Source organism: Homo sapiens, chromosome X (genome assembly GCF_000001405.40).
Source record: "Homo sapiens chromosome X, GRCh38.p14 Primary Assembly".
NCBI lineage: Eukaryota > Metazoa > Chordata > Mammalia > Primates > Hominidae > Homo > Homo sapiens.
The window spans coordinates 130,395,440-130,414,224 of NC_000023.11; the positions used below are offsets into that span (position 1 = coordinate 130,395,440).

The window sequence follows — 18,785 nt, forward strand, 5'->3', positions numbered from 1 at the left end:
CTGTTGTGCGTCTTTTAGAAGTCATACTCACCCCTGGAGGCAACTTGGCCTCCTCCTCCTCAAGAGTTTGGGATTCTTTTTCCAATCCCTCAAGAGTCTACGTAAGCATCAGATTGCTGGGAGCAAGCAGCTGTGCTGAGCCACGGGGGAGCTCAGGGCAGCGCAACTGTGCTTTCAATTTATCTATCTCTGACTCACATAACTCACGAGAATTCTACTACAACACCTGCTTGCTAAGCTTTGCAAACTGCTCTCAGTTATCTGACGGTAATTCATAGGTAATCATTAGATGCTCTAAATCAACTGTCCTTAGCTATTGTTTTTGAACTATGGAACTATTTTAGAATCTTATGGGAGCTATGGATTTTCTAAAAAATGCACATGTTCACATGTAAACACATCGTACACACAAATTCAGGGTCCTCACAGACTCCCTAAAGATCATGCATGTATCTTAAGTCAATATCCCTGAAGAGTTGATAAGATCTTCTGTTAATACAATGCATCATTTCTTATTTTCTTATTCCTAGGCAACCTACAATTAAGGAACAGACTTTATAAACACATACACTTAATCTGCTTTCTTAACACAAGGAAAGTATGGCCCACATCCATTCTTTTAGACTTGTGTTTTGCTTCCATCCGACACTTAAGTCTTCAGCATGGGAGAAGGTAAGTACACGATGGCATGCTGTTTAGATTTATGGGTCCTCTCAAATCAGTTTTCCTGATGGTGATGTTGTTTTGGATCAATTGAAATAAGTGGGTGAAAACATTGAAAAATTAAAGGTGCTTCTACCAAGAGAACTTTTCTGCAGTGTTTGATAATAATGATCACCTTTCACTCCCTTTTACTTTAATATAATTTTGTGTTTTTTTTAGAGACAGGGTCTTGCTCTGTCACCCAGGGTGGTGTGCAGTGGCACAATCACAGCTCTCTGCAGCTTCATCCTCCTGGGCCCAAGTGATCCTCCCACCTCAACCTCCCAAGTAGCTAGGACTATAGGCTCACACCACCATGCCTGGATTTTTTTTTTATTTTTTGTAGAAATGGGGGCCTCATTATGTTGCCCAGGTTGGTCCCGAATGCCTAACCTCAAGCAATCCTCCCACCTTGGCCTCTAAAAGTGTTGGGATTACAGATGTGAACAACTGGGCCCCTCCCCTTTTCTTTTAGAATACACGTTCTCCCGCTTTTTCATCTTCCTCTGTCATCCTCCTTCTCAGTCTCCTTTATTGACTCCTCCAGTATTTTTAACTGATTTACCAATTGAATTCATTAGTTTTCTTCCAAACCAGTCTTCTTGCCTGTTTTACCTTAGCAAAGTGTGTCACACCCAATTAGTGTCTCAAGCTGGAAACCTAAGCATCATCCTTAGATGTTTCCTCACTACCCACATCTACTTGAATCAGCATGTTGTGGCTATGAAATCTGTTGACTTTGTTTGCTCCTGCTCATCACAGCCAACTGGTATCCTAACTGATCTCCCAGCATCAAGACTTGCATGCCTTCAATCCATCCCCCACACTGGTTCCAAAGTGATCAAAGAGAAAATTGACCACGTCACTCCCAGGCTCAAAGAAACATGCTCGGATTATGTTTTTGTCCCCACATATGTTTTCCTTATAGGGTGAGCATGTTCACCTTTATATTCTCAGCACCTAAAGCAGTGTCTGCCTATAGCAAGTCCTCAACAAAAGTGGTCAGCTGGTTGACTGGTTGAATGACTGAATGATTAAGCTATATGATCACTTCTCATTGCCTACTAGCTAGAATCAGAACTTCTTGGCTTCATCTACAAGGCCCTTAACAAAATGGCCAGAACTCTTCCATCCTTATCTTCAGCCATTACCACTCTGCCCCATCCCATCCCCTGGTCACATCATATGCTTTTCACACTTTGATGCTTTTGCCTCTGGTGGTTCCACTGCTTGAAATGCTGTTTCTGTGTGGTACCCATCCTGCGTCTTCCATCTACATGTGACTGCCTTCAAGGCCAAGCTCAACAGTCACCTGACTCTATGTGACTTTCCCTGACAATCTACTTTCCACCCCCAGCTTCCTCTGACCCCCAGCACCAGAATTAATTATCCCTCAGCTGGTTCTAAAGGCATTTCACTCATACATTCAATATGACATTCATCACCTTGAATACAAAGTACTTATTTATATCTGTAACTATCTTGTAACACCGTGAGCTGCTCAAGGGCAGGTACTGGGTCATGTGGTCTTATTCACTGTAGTATCCCCAGCATCTAGGCCAGTGTCTGGGCACTGACAAACAAAGGATGTGCCTTTATGTTGGTGTCATGTGTGTTCTTATTTATTTTTATTTAAAATACATTTTTTTTTTAGTTTGGAACAATACCAGCATGGAACACCATCTTCTTTGCTGTCACCTGGAGACAAATCACCATCATCCGTCGTCTGATTTATTGTAGAGCTTCCAAACTGGTCTTCCTGCTTCTACTGTAGGCACCCCCTGCCCCCTCCCTGGTCTGTTATCAACACAGCAGCTAAGGTGAACCTACTAAAATGTACATCAGATCAAAGTTCTTTGGTGACTCCCTACCTCACACTGAGTAAATTCCAAAGCCAGTACCCAGCATGGCCATGTTTGATCTGTTCTCTTTACCTCAACTTATCCTGTGTATAGGGGTTAAGAGTGCAGACTTTGGAGCTATATGACCTGGATTCAAATCCTGGTTCTACCATTTACCAGCTGTGTGACCTAGGGCAAGCAACCTAACCTCTCTGTGCCTCTCTTTTCTCATTTACCAAGTGAGGATAATAATATCTGCCTCATAGGGTTGTTGCAAGAAGTAAATGAATTTATACATGTAAAGTACCTAGAACAGTGTCAGGTACATGGTAGGTACTAAGTAAGATTTTCTCAAATAAACAAAAATCTATCATTCTCCCCCTTGCCTACTCCTCTCCAGCCACACTGGCCTCCTTTCTGTTTCTGAAATACACTCAAAAGAGTGTCTCAGAACAATACTGTTTTACCAGACACTCACATGGCTTCCTCGCTGTCTTCCTGTGGTGGCACACGCCTGTAGTCCCAGCTACTTGGGAGGCTGAGGCAGGAGAATTGCTTGAACCTGGGAGGCGGAGGTTGCAGTGAGCCAAGATTGCACTACTGCACTACAGTCTGCGTGACAGAGTGAGACTCTGTCTCAAAAAAAAAAAATAAATAAATAAAAATAAAAATAAAAATAAAAAAAGGAAAATTCTAACCATATAGAAATGAACAAAGGGAAAATAAAATAAAGTCTTCTCTACCCCTACCCTCATCTGTTTTCCTAAAGGTAATCATAGTTGTGTGATTTTTCAATTTCATTAACCAGTAAGTATATTGGTTGCATTCTATGTATATAGGAAAATGTTCGAGGCTTGAGGTTCTGAGGGGCTTATAAATGCAGATCCTTTACCTTCCAGGATTTCATGGTCTTTCTGGGAGAAGAACATAAAGGAGTTCTGTAGTGTTACAGAGTTCAGAAGTGAGAGCCATCACTGTGGGCACATAAGATCGGGAAAGGTTTCCTGCATGATGAATGACTTGTTGGGGGCTTGGGGCTTGGGCAGATTTCAGTGAGAGAGAGGAGGGTGGTCCAGGGCTATGAGGCTCTCTCAGCAGAGGTGCCTAGGTGGGATGATGAAAGGGGCCTTCGAGGGAATGGATAGAAGTGGAGCCCGGCTTAAGTTGAGTTTTTTAGTGGGGGAGCAGTGACAGAAGAGAATGGAGAGTAGGGGCTGGGGCAGCTAGAAGAGTACTGAAAGAGCTAGGAGGCATGTACTAATGGCTCAGATAGGACTGTGACTGGAAGAGACACATTTTATAGATACTTCAATAGTACAATTGTTAGGACTTGGTGAGTGAATGGATATGTTGAGGTGAAGAATAGGGAAGACTGAAATATGAAACCCATGTTTTTGAGTATGGGCAACCAGGAAAATGGTGATAATATTGCCCAAAATAGGGAAGTCTGGAGGAAAAACTGTTTGGGGGTGTGGTGTGGTGGTGGGAAGTTGGGAGATGACTCTGGCTAGATAGTTCAGCCTTTCCTTGAATGTGGGGACTGCCTTTGACTACCTTAGCATTACCCTCAGAAGCTAGAACTAAATACTGCATAGAATATTTTCTAAATGGATGCTATTGGTGGAGATCACTTATAGCCACCTTGGATGCCAAACCCTCGTTCTACTTTCAGATGTTAGATTCAGAGGGTCCTCTGCATCCCCACCTCTTTTCAACTCAGACTTACGGGTATCTCTAGGCATCATCTTACCTACCAATTCCTGCCAAATGCAAGTACATCTATGGAAAATCCGACTTCCTTGCTTCGTTATTTACTTCAGGATCTCCTAGGGTGATCAACCATCATGGTTTGTTCTGGGGTTGCCAATTTTAGCTCCAAAAGTCAGAAGTCTCAGAAACCTCTCAGTTCCAGGAAAACTGGAGCAATATTCAGCTCTCTCACCTTCAGAATACCTCTGCTGAACCTACCAGCTGCATAGTAATAATAGCCTTCTCATGTTCTCAATCTAAATTGGTCTTATTCTACTCTTTTGCTCCAGCTTCTCTCGGAACACTGATGACTAATCCCCAGGTATAGTCTTAACTCTCTCATTTCACAGCCATTTGAAGAAGTCAGCAAGATAATGCTGCATGCTAGTTTACCACTCTGCAATGGCTACTTCAACCCACAACTAAGCAACCTGAGATTCCTAGGAGCAGATAAACCCCATGTGCAATCTGTCACTGTTTAGCTTTCATTGCCAAGATAATTTTACAAAGTTAATGAATAGCTGGGTTGGAATGGGGAGGGGGGAACAGACACAGAATGAATGAGGAGGAACTGTCATTGGTGGGCAGCCTCTGTTCTCCTTCTTGGCAGGACATTGGTTACATGGTGGGCCACTTGAGGGTACAGTTGTTATCATCATCAAAATGCTTTTATGAAGGACCTAATATCTGGTGCTCTGAGTTAGGCCGCACAGCTCTGGACTTTCACTTTTAGAACATCATAGTCCAAGAGCAGGTATTGATGTGGACACATGCAAAATGGATTCAAACTGTCAATATGGGTTAAATCACATATTATACATTAATAATCTCTTCCACTGGTTTCTAGATATTTCTGGTTGAAATCTATCAAGCAAATATATCTTGTCCCCTTAATTATAATATTAGCTCCTTGAAGGCAGAGGACCCACCCTGATACTCCTGTCTACAGACCTTAGCTGTACAGGACAAATCTAGATGTTCAGTAAGGACTGATTAAATCAACCTGACCTGACGGGTGCAGGTAGAGTACCTTTCAAGTTAATTTATTCCTTTGAGCCTCATTTCTTCCTCTACAAAATGAGGGTGGAAATTTTTTTTCTTTTCTTTCTTTTTTTTTTTAAATAAAAAGGAGTCTCACTCTGCTGCCCAGGCTAGAGTGCAGTGGTGCGATCTCAGCTCACTGCAATCTCTGCCTCCCAGGTTCAAGTGATTCTCCTGCCTCAGCCCCCTGAGTAGCTGAGATTACAGGCGTGTGACACCATGCCTGGCTAATTTTTGTATTTTTAGTAGAGACAGAGTTTCACCATCTTGGCCAGGCTGGTCTTGAACTCCCGACTTCAGGTGATCCACCCGTCTTAGCCTCCCAAAGTGTTGGGATGACAGGCATGAGCCACCACACTTGGCCCCCCTTTTTTTCCCTTTATTTTAGAGACAGGGTCTTGCTATGTTGCCCAGGATGGTCTCGAACTCCTGAGCTCAAGCAATCCTCCTACCTCAGCTTCCCAAAGTGCTGGGATTACAGGCTGAGCTGCTGTGCCCGGCTAGGGATTGTAATTTTCTCTGCTTTATTGGGTTGTTGTGAGGGTGGAGAGACAATACATGTAAATTGCTTAGTACATACTCTAGCATCGTATAGTACATCATCTGCTCAATTGTTAGCTATTAATTTAACAATATTAATTTCTGCCTCCTGCTCAACTAGGAGAGAGCCTATGGAAAAGAGTAAGTGCAGCAGTTCTCATGCAAATGTGTAGGTATTCGATTCAGCCTATAGAAGCACACTGGTCTGTTGCCTATGTATTGGGATAAGGACAACAGAAGATTTACCTTTTCACCTATCTTCTTCACTTTTCTGCCATGACAGGGATGCTTTGATGGGTCTGTGCTTTAGCAACTGACTAGGAGCGAAGGTCCAAGTGGGACTCTGGACTGGGAGCGAGGGCTGAGACTAAAGTCGCCACATCAGGCTGCTTGTTCCGTTCACTCAGCAAATATTTATAGCTAATCTAACCAGTTTCAGATATCGTTCAAGAGGTGGGGGTCCTGCAACAGCCCAGGCTTGTGCCTTTACCCCATTTCACAGAGAAGAAAAAGCGAAAAACTAGAGAAAAACCACCTCTCCAAGAGGTAACCGCACGCAGCGCGGAAGGCTGCTAGTGCGCAGGCGCCACGCCCCGGTACGCCCCGGCTCTTCCGGCGCGAGGTCACCGAATCGACTGGCCACTGGCGCCGGGGCCGCGCATGCGCTGCGCTGCCTTTCCCGGGCGCTGATTCCTGAGTGCTGAGCGCGAACCCGAGGAGATGAAGTAAGGCGTCAGCTTCCTTTTGAGGAAGGAGCAGCGGGCCACTGGGGGTGGTCCACCGGGACTGGTGTGGTAGAGCGTCTGCGGGGCCGAGGGGCGGGAGCGGCGCGGGGACTGGAACAGCTCGTCCCCTAGTTTTGCTCTTCCTCAGCTCCGGCCGGTTCGCACTTACTTGTCTGCTTTTCTGCCTACCCTCCCCACCCCCCCCGCCACCGTGAAGCCCTTTAACTAAGGTGAAGCTGATCAACGAGCTGAATGAACGAGAGGTCCAGCTTGGGGTGGCCGATAAGGTGTCCTGGCACTCCGAGTACAAGGACAGCGCCTGGATCTTCCTGGGTGAGGTCCACATCTTTCTTCCTCAGTGCTCTCCAGATTCTCCTGCTCGGTTTCCGACTATTTCGGCATTTTCACCCTTCACTCCTGCTTACATTCATCGCCCACCTTCATATCCATCTGCTGTCTGCCCGGGAATCCGTGTTACATCTCTTTTCTGCCCCATTTTTAGTTTTCCTTCCCTGCCAAATCAGTGCTCATGAGAGTTACTGTTTGCCATTTGCTGTGCTAAGGTTCAGGGACTGTTGTTATTTCTCTCTCACCCTCTGACCCATTATACTGCTGAGGAAATTGGGGTGCAGAGAAGTTAAGGGACTTCCTTAAGGTCACATAGCTAGTAAGCGCAACAGGCAGAACTATAGCATTCTAGAACTCTTGGTCTTAGCCACAGCTCCATATTGCTACCACCACCCTCCCCCATTCCCCTTCCCTTCCAGAATTCACTTTGCTCCTCTAGCTCCTGCTTTCTAGTCCATGGCCACGTTACCATTACTGTATTCACTTTATATCACAATCAGTAATTGTACAAGTTTGATGCTTCAAAGAGGTTATTGTACCAAACATTGTGCTAAGCACTTTATATACATCGTTTTATTTAACTCTTATAATAATCTTGCGAGTTACGTGCTAATATCCCCATCTTACAAATGAGGAAATAAATATTTGGAGGGGAAATTATTCCCTAGGAAATGCTTAACAGTGTCTTTATAACCTTTGTCTATGTGTAGGTGGGGTTAATCATGACATATGTAGACTGATTTTGTATCATAGCTGTAAATTTGTGGGTAATGAGCAGATGAATTCAACATGTTTGTGGAAGCAGAGGTTTGTGATGGAAACTATCTGCTTTGTCCATAGGATTTTGGGTGGCAGGAGGACTGAGTGATCAGATTAGTTTCGTTAGTGGTGACCCCGACTTCCACTCAAAATTAATTACTCCTTTTTCTGTACTACTGGCACCTTACATGTACTTCTGTCATTGAGTCAGACTTAATTTCTTTCTTTCTTTCTTTTTTTTGAGCTGGAGTTTCACTCTTGTCGCCCAGGCTGGAGTGCAATGGCACGATCTCGGCGCACTACAACCTCTGCCTCCTGGGTTCAAGCGAGTCTCCTGCTTCAGCCTCCTGAGTAGCTGGGATTACAGGTGCCCGCCACCTCACCTGGCTGATTTTTTTTTGTATTTTTAGTAGAGCCGGGGTTTCGCCATGTTGGACAGGCTGGTCTCGAACACCTGACCTCAGGTGATCCACCCTCCTCAGCCTCCCAAAGTGTTGGGATTACAGGCGTGAGCCACGGTGCCCAGCCCAGACTTGATTTCTTTAAGGGCAGGGCCTGTTGCTTACTGTTTCCACCCCTAGTGCCTGGCCTAGTGCGTGGTATGTAGTAAACACTTGGTAAATGTTGGTGGAACTGAAATGTGGTTTTCTCTTCTAGGAGGGCTTCCTTATGAACTGACTGAAGGGGACATCATCTGTGTGTTCTCACAGTAAGTGTCCTTTCATTTCCTGCCTCCTGAGTCGACAGAGTACTTTGTTTCTGTAATACATTTTGTGGCATCACAAAAACCACTTATTTTCACTCTAGGCTGAATGGCATCCCTGCATGGGGAGGGCTGGAGCTTCTGTTCTAGATCAGTCCCAGGACATGGTTCTAGAATGTTCTGTGGGAGATCCAAGAGGTTTGTTAATTTGGGAGGGCATCTTGGGGATCCTAGTCTATTTCTGTTGTTTTTCACTGAGGCTTGTTCAGCCTGGGCCTAGACTGGAACAGACTGGACTCCTTGGGCTCTTGCAAACTAGGGGTAACCCATGGTCACAGGGCCCTTCTGGCCCTTACCTGTGTGGCGTCATACGATTGGGGCAAAGCACAGAGGAAATTGGGGTAAAAAACAGAAGGTCGTAGTTTGCTTTCTTTGTTTCTCGATGAGTGTAAGGTTAGTGAGCAAAGGCAATCTCTGCCTGGAGGCTGAGAATCACAGCCCGAAGGGAACAAGAATGAATAGGAGACCTGTATATTCTTCATTCTGCTGAGGTGTTAGCAGCAGCATTTCATGGGAGAGGGTGTTGGCAGCTCATACTGGTAGTAGCAGCTGGTAGGAGAGGGGCTGGGCAGCTGGCCTGCAACCCCAGAGCTAAACAGCACAGTTAGTCCACAGGGCTAGAGGACCTTGGCACAGGTGCAGAGGACCACTACGTTTGGGTTTTGTAGTCCTTGGAAGCATAGTACTGTTTCAGAGAAGTTGGACAGCATGTACAGGTAGCGGACCATGGCAAAAGGGGCTGGCCAAGCGAACACCGGTAGCATACACTGGCAGAGGGATTGCTATGGGACCATCCATGGACAGAGGGCCCTGGCCGAGTGGTTGAGCCACTTATGGGGCAGCAAGACATGGGAAAGGAATTGGGCAATACCCGTGAGAAGAAGGCTGTGATAGAGAACCTGGGCAACCCACACAGGTGGAGGGCCCTGGCAGGGACAAAGATTGCTTCCTCCAACTTCTGGATGTTGGGAAGTTCACAGCAGGTGCAGCCTATAATTTCTACCCCTTTGTGGTACTTCTACTCAGCCTTCCATCTTGGAGCTGTTCTACTTGCATTAAGTAATGATGAGCTAACGTGTGCATGTTTGTTTATTCTAATTATCTATTCTCTATTCTGGTTACGCACGTTGCTCTCCATGAAGATTGCCTTTGCCGCTGATAACAGTGCCTTTCAAAAAACTACTTTGTTGGCTGGGTGCGGTGGCTCACGCTTGTAATCCCAGCACTTTGGGAGGCTGAGGTGGGCAGATCACCTGAGGTCAGGAGTTTGAGACCAGCATGGCCAACATGGGGAAACCCTGTCTCTACTAAAAATACAAAAATTAGCCAGGCATGGTGGTGCGCGCCTGTAATCCCAGCTACTCGGGAGGTTGAGGCAGGAGAATTGCTTGAATCCGGGAGGTGGAGGTTGCAGTGAGCCAGGATTGCGCCATTGCACTCCAGCCTGGGGGATAGAGCAAGACTCCCCCATCTCAAAAAAAAAGAAAAAAGAAAAAAAAACTACTTTGTTTTCTGATTTTGGAAGGTAATACATAGTCATTATAGAACATTTGGCAAAATAAAGTATAAAGAAGAAAATAGAACATACTCTTAAGGAAAACCTTAATGTTTTGGCATATCTCTTTATCATTTTTAAAAAAATGTTGGACATTATTTCCAATGGTTTGCTATTATGAATTATACTGCAATGTACATTATAGTATATAAATTTTTGTATGCATCCCTCATGGTCTCTTTAGTGAAAGAGGAATATGGATCAATATGTTAGCATTTTAAAGATGTTTTATAAACATTGCCAAATTGCTCTCCAAAAGGTTGTACCAATTTCCACACTCATTAGAATGCCCATTTTTCTGAATCCTGATTAACAGTGACTATTTTAAAAAATATTTGCCAAAGGGCTTCTCATTATTACTTTGCTTTGCCTTTTTTTTTTTTTTTTTTTTTTTTTTTTTTTTTTTTTTTGAGACGGAGTCTCGCTCTGTCGCCCAGGCTGGAGTGCAGTGGCGGGATCTCGGCTCACTGCAAGCTCCGCCTCCCGGGTTCACGCCATTCTCCTGCCTCAGCCTCCCAAGTAGCTGGGACTACAGGCGCCCGCCACTACGCCCGGCTAATTTTTTTGTATTTTTAGTAGAGACGGGGTTTCACCGTTTTAGCCGGGATGGTCTCGATCTCTTGACCTCGTGATCCGCCCGCCTCGGCCTCCCAAAGTGCTGGGATTACAGGTGTGAGCCACCGCGCCCGGCCTGCTTTGCCTTTATTTCATCATCAGTGAGGTTGAACATCTGTTTATAGATTTGCAGCCCATTATTTTTCTTTGTAAATTGTCTATTCATATCCTTTGCCAACTTTCTTCTACAAGTATTTTCCTTATTTTCTTGTTGATTTTACATGAGCCCTTCATGTATGAAGGATATTAACTCTTTGCAGTACTTTGTTGTGTATTGTATTACAGGTTGAATATCCCTTATCCAAAATGCTTGGGGCCAGGCACGGTGGCTCACGCCTGTAATCCTAGCACATTGGGAGGCCGAGGCAGGTGGATTGCCTGAGCTCAGGAGTTTGAGACCAGCCTGGGCCATATGGTGAAACCCCATCTCTACTAAAATACAAAAAGTAGCCAGGTGTGGTGGTGGGTGCCTGTAGTCCCAGCTACTCTGGAGGCCAAGGCAGGAGAATCACTTGAATCGGGAAGGTGGAGGTTGCAGTGAGCTGAGATAGTACCATTGCACTCCAGCCTGGGCAACAGAGTGAGACTCTGTCTCCAAAAAAAAAAAAAAAAGAACAAAATGCTTGGGACCAGAGGACCAGAAGTGTTTCCAATTTGTATAAATGTAATGATCTATCTTGGGGCTGGGACCCAGATCTAAACATAAAATTCATTTATGTTTCATATACACCTTATACACATAGACTGAGGGTAATTTTATACCCTCAATATTTTCAGTAATTTTGTGTGTGAAACAAAGTTTGTGTACATTGAACCATTAGAAATTAAAGGTGTCAGATATGGAATTTTCCACTTGTGATACCATGTTGGTGCTCAAAATGTTTCAGACTTTGGAGCATTTTGAATTTTGGATTTTCAGATTAGGGATGCTCAGCCTGTACTATGGACTTATTTTTTCTTAATTTGATATGTTATACTTATCATTATTCTTTCTTGATGCTCAAATTTTCCCTATTTGAGGGTCAACATGAGTTCCTTCAAGCCAGTGCCTGTATTCTTTTTTTTTTTTTAATTCTTGTTTTGAAATAATTTCAGGCTTAATACAGGAACATTATCAAATGGCATAAAGAATACCTGTATCTCCTTCACCCAGATCCCCCAGCTGTTAGCATTTTAATTTAGTTGATTGTTCTGAGAAAGGGCCTTGCTCTGACACCCACGCTGGAGTGCAGTGTTAAGACCGTAGCTCACTGTAGCCTTGAGCTCTTGGGCTACTGTCATATGTAATCTACAGAAAGGTAGTGTTACTTCCTTTTTTCATTTCTTGTATCTGTTTTATCTAATTGCATTGGCCTATACCTCCAATTTAGTATTAAATAGTTCCTAAACTTAGTTGAATTGGCTCTAGTATTTCTCATTAAGTAGGATGCTGGATTTTGGGCTGAAGTGTATGTATGTGATTATGTAACATATCTATCAATTCCTATTTTCTTTTTATGACTTTATTTTTAAATTTATAAACCTCTAACTTACCTGGAATTTATCTTTTTGTAAGGCGTAAGGTAGTTTGTTTTTCTAATGTTTTTTCTTTTTTTTTTTTTGAAACAGGGTCTCTCTTGCTCAGGTTTGGAGTGCAGTGGCATGATCCTAGCTCACTGCAGCCTCGAACTCCTGGGCTCAAGTGATCCGCCCCACGCACCCTCCTGAATGGCTGGGACTACAGGTGCACACTATGCCTGGCTAATTAAAAAAAATTTTTTTTGTAGAGACAGGGGTCTGGCCGTATTGTCCAGGCTGGTCTCAAACTCCTGGCATCAAGTGATCCTATGGCCTCGGCTTCCCAAAGTGCTGGTATTATGCACGTGAGCCACCGTGCCTGATCTTTTTTTTCTATTTCCTTTTTGTTTTCCTATTTCTATCTTCCTTTTTGTTTGTTTGCTTTTTTTAGAGACAGGGTCTTGTTCTGTTGCCCAGGCTGGTCTCGAACTACTGGCCTCAATCCTCCTGCCTCCCAAAGTGCTGGTATTACAGGTGTGAGCCACCATGCCTGGCCTTTTTTTTTCTATTTAATTCTGCCTTCTTGTTTGTTTGTTTGTTTGTTTTAGAGACAGGATCTTGTTCTGTTGCCCAGGCTGGTCTTGAACTGCTGGCCTCAAACAGCCCTCCCACCTTGGCCTCCCAAAATGCTGGGATTACAGGCATGAGCCACCATGCCGAGCCTAATTTCTGCTTTTATCTCTATTAACTGCCATCTGCTTTCATTAGGTTTGCTTTCTTCCTTTATGTTCATCCTTTCTCTTCACAATAAAATTCTTTTAAAATTACAAATTTTCCTGAGTATGACGTTAGCCACATTTCATAAGTTTTGGTGTATATTCTCATTTTTGCTATTTTCTAAATAGTCTGCCATTTATTTTTTTTTAATTTTGCTTCGTCTTCTCTTTCATGCTGTTGTTAGGAGAGTAGCTTTCAAGTTCTAGTTAGGTAACTTTTTTTTATTTAAAATATCATTTCCAGCTTTATAACATTATAACTGGAAACATGGTCTGTTCTGTTTTTTGTAGTATAATTATTGAGGTTTACATTGAGACCTAATCCATAGTCAATTTTAATACATGCTTCATGGATTCTTGAAAATGTCATCTTGTAGGATTCAAAGATATCTATGTATCTAATAGTCCTACATTAATATTTGTTATTATAACAGAGTAATTATGTATATTAATTAATCTGATTTTAGTTTATTTCTGTCCACTTTGTGCGTGATAAACTTCAAAGTGATGTGTTAAATTCTCCCATAACTTTCTCTATTAGTTTCTTTTTGCATTTCAAATAGCTTTTTTAATTAAAATTTTTGATTTCTTAATTGGCTCATAACGTTTTCCTGGCTTATACCTTTGTTGTGTATTTAGGCCTTTTTCAGTGTAAAATAATCTTCTTAGTCTCATGTGATATTTTTATTTTGGCCTTGAATTAGTCTTTGCTCTGGATATTGCCACCCATTTTTTAATTGGGGGTTCCTGTTCTTGTCTGACTTTTTCTTTGCAACCTTTCTATGTCATCTTGTTCTAGATGCATCTCTTGTATACACTATATTATTTGAATTTTGTTTTATTACCTTATCTGCATGTTTTTGCCTTTTAAGTCAACAGTGTCTTACTCTTTTATAAAATAAATAGATATGGGGAGATTGTTAACATTAATCTCGTGCGGGACAAGAAAACTGGGAAATCCAAAGGATTCTGTTTCCTCTGCTATGAAGACCAGAGGAGCACAATTCTGGCCGTCGACAATTTTAATGGGATCAAGGTGAGTGTGCTTATTAAGCAGGTTGGTTGGACTTTTTTCCCATGTATAGGGGTTTCGTTTTCTACCTGGTTCCCGCAGACACAAGGGCAGCACTTGTGAGCTTGGTGTGTTGCGGGGGCTGCAGAGATGTGGAGACACTGGTCAAGAAGAGATTCCAGGAAATAATTCTGTTGGCTCATGGTCCTGCAGGACTTGCTTCTTTTCCCCATCTGTTAACAAACCATCTCCCCAGGAGCATAGGCACCAGGCCTGCCTCTCATCCAGGCCTCTGTTTTTCACCTTTCTTTTATTGTCTACTGTCATCTCTGGTGTACTGGAGGATGAAGAGACTAGCAAACATTGCTCTTCCATATTGTTGTGTGTTGGGGGTTTTGGGCTTCATCATGGCCTCATAATCTAGTACATAGCCATGTATGTCTGTCATATATCTCCAGTGACCTAGCATATTGGGCCCTAGAAATTCTCTAGTTAAAATCTGATGGCAGATTCTACAAAAGTAATTTCATCCTGAAATTTTCTCCCCCCAGTTCCCTCTCATTTCCACTGTCATAAGTGAGGCACTGAGTTCTTAGAAGGAGATAGCGCAAGTCAGGCTTATTGATGCTCCATGTGGTTGCTGCACTCATTTAGGAAAAGAGCTGCAGTTGAACAGTGTCACAGAGTTGGTGGGGGGAGGCTTGAGTTGGAGAGTTTGTCACTGATTCACGAGTATGGAATAGCTGGAGATTATAGAACAGAGTGGAACAAGGTTCTAGGCTTGATGTTTAAGGAAGCCAGCAGTCAGAGGGCATCACTGTAAAAGGAAGGTTTTCCAAAGTGTTTCAAAATGGAGAAGAGGATACATGACAGAAGCCACTTAGGCCTTAAGGTAAAAATAAAAATCTGCTCTTGTATTGGAACAATAAAAGCCAAACTTTAAATTTTGGATGACTTTGCCTAGGGAGTAAGTCTGTATCTGCCTAAAAATAGAATATTTTTATTTTAAGTGAGGTGTTAATTTTTTGGGGGGTGGGGGAGGGGGACAGGGTCTCACTCTGTTGCCCTGGTTGGAGTGCAGTGGCGTGGTCTTGGATCACCACAACCTCTGTTGCCTGGGTTCAAGTGATTCTCCTGTCTCAGCCTCCTGAGTAGCTGGAATTACAGGTGTGCACCACCATGCCCGGCAAATTTTTGTATTTTTAGTAGAGATGGGGTTTCACCATATTGGCCAGGCTGGTCTCGTACTTCTGACCTCAAGTGATCCACCCGCTTTGGCCTCCTAAAGTGCTGGGATTACAGGTGTGAGCCACTGCGCCCGGCCAGAGGGGTTAATATTTTGTTGTTGTTCATCTGGAGAGATGTGATTCGTTGTGCAAGAATCAGCGTGAGCTGATTGTTCCAGTATGGTGGGGCTAGAGCAAGGTGTGAGGGCTTAAGAAAAAAGCAAGTGCCCTTTTCTTGATTCCTTTCTCCCTCCAAACTATTGGTCTGACTTTGCCTCCTAATTACTGGGTGGAGAAAGCAGTTGTAGCATTAAGCTAGATTTCAAGAATTCCTTCTAGTTGCCAGACCTTCCTAGGGTATGTTTCACTGTAAACTTAGGTTACAGATCAAGGGTGATTCATTGTGCATCTAAATCTCAGTCTTCCCTGATGCTTGTGCTTTGAGGTAGTTTTCCTAGTCTTTTTCATTTTATGGCACATACAGAACATGAAGATATTTGTATGCTGCCCCAGAGTAAAGTGATGAGGCTGCTGGTACAACTGCCCCAGGCCTCATCTGGCTGCACTGAGAGCTGAATGTATTAATATTTAGGTGTACATGCTATGACACACCAGTTGGACAGGTCTGCTTTAGTGACAGAATTTAACAAGAAGGTAAAGGATGTAGTTCAAATCATGGTTCTCTGTAGCTTGTGTTCAAATAGTTTGACAGTTTGGTATGAGGGCTGTCTTCACTGAAGCATCGCCTGTCTTGCTTAGATCAAAGGAAGAACTATCCGAGTGGATCATGTGTCTAACTATCGGGCTCCTAAGGACTCAGAAGAAATAGATGATGTGACCAGACAACTCCAGGAGAAGGGCTGTGGGGCTCGTACCCCCTCACCAAGTTTGTCTGAGAGCTCTGAAGATGAAAAACCAACAAAAAAGCACAAAAAAGGTAAAGCATTAAGACTTAAGAGAAGATTCTGGGTGGTCTTAATGTCTGCTCTTCCTTGCATTCACTGATAGTTGATAATCAACTCAAGTGTGAAAGGGGAAGGTGTGGGGAAGCATAGTTTAATTGGGAAAGCAGGGAGTATCAGTGGAAGGCTGGTGCTATGGGCAGAATTGTGTCTCTCCCCAAGTTAATATGGTGAAATCCTAACCCTCAGCACCTCAGAATGCGACTGTATTTGGAGATAAGGTCTTTGAAGAGGTAACTCAGGATGGGAATTACCTTGTACAGCCACTCGACATATCAAAGGTGACAGACATCCAAGTTGGCTTCTCGGAGGCACTCTCCTGGAGGCCTAGACAGTGGCTGCTTCATGCTGCTGCCAAGGTTGTTCTCCTTATGCACATTCCCCACTTCCTAGCATGTGAAAGTTTCTGTCGCCCAGGCTGGAGTGCAGTGGCACGATCTCGGCTCACTGTAAGCTCCGCCTCCCGAGTTCATGCCATTCTCCTGCCTCAGCCTTCTGAGTAGCTGGGACTAGAAGCACCCGCCACCACACCCGGCTAATTTTTTTTTTTTTTTTTTAGTAGAGACGGGGTTTCACCGTGTTAGCCAGGATGGTCTTGATCTCCTGACCTCGTGATCCGCCTGTCTTGGCCTCCCAAAGTGCTGGGATTACAGGCGTGAGCCACCGCACCCGGCTGTGAATGTTTTTGAACTGTAGCACCTGTGGTTGATGTAACGTATTCAGAAAAGAAAGGTGCTTTTTTTTTTTTTAAGGGAGTTCTTTTATTTTTTTCCCTTTTCTTATTTACTGCTTCTTTCTTTTATCCTCCAGACAAAAAGGAAAAAAAGAAAAAAAAGAAAGAAAAAGAGAAAGCCGACCGGGAGGTACAGGCAGAGCAACCATCCTCTTCGTCACCCAGACGCAAGACAGTAAAGGAAAAGGATGACACTGGCCCTAAGAAGCACAGCAGCAAGAACTCAGAGAGAGCTCAGAAGTCAGAGCCCAGGGAGGGGCAGAAGCTCCCCAAATCCAGGACGGCCTACTCTGGTGGAGCAGAGGACCTAGAGAGGGAGCTGAAGAAGGAGAAACCCAAGCACGAGCACAAGTCCTCAAGCAGGAGGGAGGCAAGAGAAGAAAAGACCAGGATTAGGGACAGAGGGCGGAGCTCAGATGCACATTCTAGCTGGTATAATGGGCGTTCTGAAGGGCGTAGTTATAGAAGTAGAAGTAGGAGCCGAGATAAATCCCATAGGCATAAAAGGGCCCGACGCTCCCGGGAGCGGGAGTCTTCGAATCCCAGTGACCGTTGGCGTCACTGAAGACTTCAGCTGCACAGTAGATTTGGAAATAATTATGTTTTTTAAATGCAGTCAAATTCAGTTGGGTGGTTACTATTTTTGTATCTAAAACTTCTGGGGCTGGATTCTTTTAATCCCTTGACTATTTAGAGTCATTGGGAGGGCTGCAGTTTCAACAGCTAGATATCCTGGATATTGTTTGCACCATCCATTGTCCCTGTACCAGAGTATGTATCCTGAACTTTGGTTCATAAATATGGCTCTTGAACCCATAGACCCCAGTTGAAGATGGAATTTTCAGGAAAGGGAAAATACTAGATAATTCTAGAATTCTAGTCTTCGTGTTAGATGTTTATAGCCCAGCATCTTGGGACCTTTCCAGTTACTAGGTTTGGACAGCTTGATGTGAACGAATGGGATAGGATTTTTAAAATCAGCCAGCTCCATGCCCAAACCTTCCTGTTTGCAGAACTTTTTAATGTCTTTTCTTTTTCATTAAAACTTTTTTGTTCGATATGCCTCTTTCCACATTTTTTCCTTGCAATGTATTTATTATTTATTTGTATTTAGGTGAAATTCACATAACATAAAGTTAACCATTTTAAAGGGAACAATTCAGTGGCATTTGGTACTGAACATCCACAGTGTTGTGTAACCATTGCCTCTGTCTAGTTCCAAAACATTTTTTATCATCCCAAAATGAAACCCTGTAGCCATTAAACAAGAGCTCCCCGTTTCCTCCCTCCTCCCTGTCCCTAGCAACCACCAGTGGACTTCCTGTTTATGGGTTTGCCTATTCTGGATCTTTCATAAAAATGGAATTACACAATTGTGGCCTTTTGTGTCTGGCTTCTTTCACTTAGTGTAGTGGTTTTTTTTTTTTTTTTTTTTTTTTTTTTTTAAATTTGAGATGGAGTCTCACTCTGTCGCCCAGACTGGAGTGCATTGGTGCAATCTCAGCTCACTGCAACCTTTGCCTCCTGGGTTCAAGCCATTCTCCTGCCTCAACCTCCTGAGTAGCTGGGATTACAGGCATGCACCACCACACCTAGCTTATTTTTGTATTTTAGTAGAGATGGGGTTTCACCGTGTTGGCCAGGCTGGTCTTGAGCTCCTGACCTCAAGTGATCTGCCTGCCTTGGCCTCCCAAAGTTCTGGGATTACAGGCGTGTGCCACCACACCTGGCCTAATGTAGTGTTTTTGAGATCCATCCACATTGTAGCATGTATCAGTACTTCATTCCTTTTTATGGCTGTATCATATCCCATTGTATTGATAGAGCACATTTTGTTTATGCACTCATCAGTGAGTGGACATGTGGGTTGTTTCTACTTTTTGGCTAGCCAGCTTCCTTTTTGTATTCCAGACATACCAGGCTACCTTTTAGCCTTTGTCC

The 18,785-nt window shown here is 43.6% G+C and overlaps 1 protein-coding gene across 1 annotated transcript; it reads left to right on the plus strand.

Moving 5' to 3' along the window:
• On the plus strand, positions 6,548-18,217 carry RBMX2 (RNA binding motif protein X-linked 2). Its single transcript, NM_016024.4, has 6 exons — positions 6,548-6,598; positions 6,816-6,931; positions 8,363-8,414; positions 13,818-13,947; positions 15,909-16,086; positions 16,922-18,217. The coding sequence occupies exons 1-6, from the start codon at positions 6,594-6,596 to the stop codon at positions 17,407-17,409; spliced, it is 969 nt and encodes a 322-aa protein (NP_057108.2). The 5' UTR covers positions 6,548-6,593; the 3' UTR covers positions 17,410-18,217.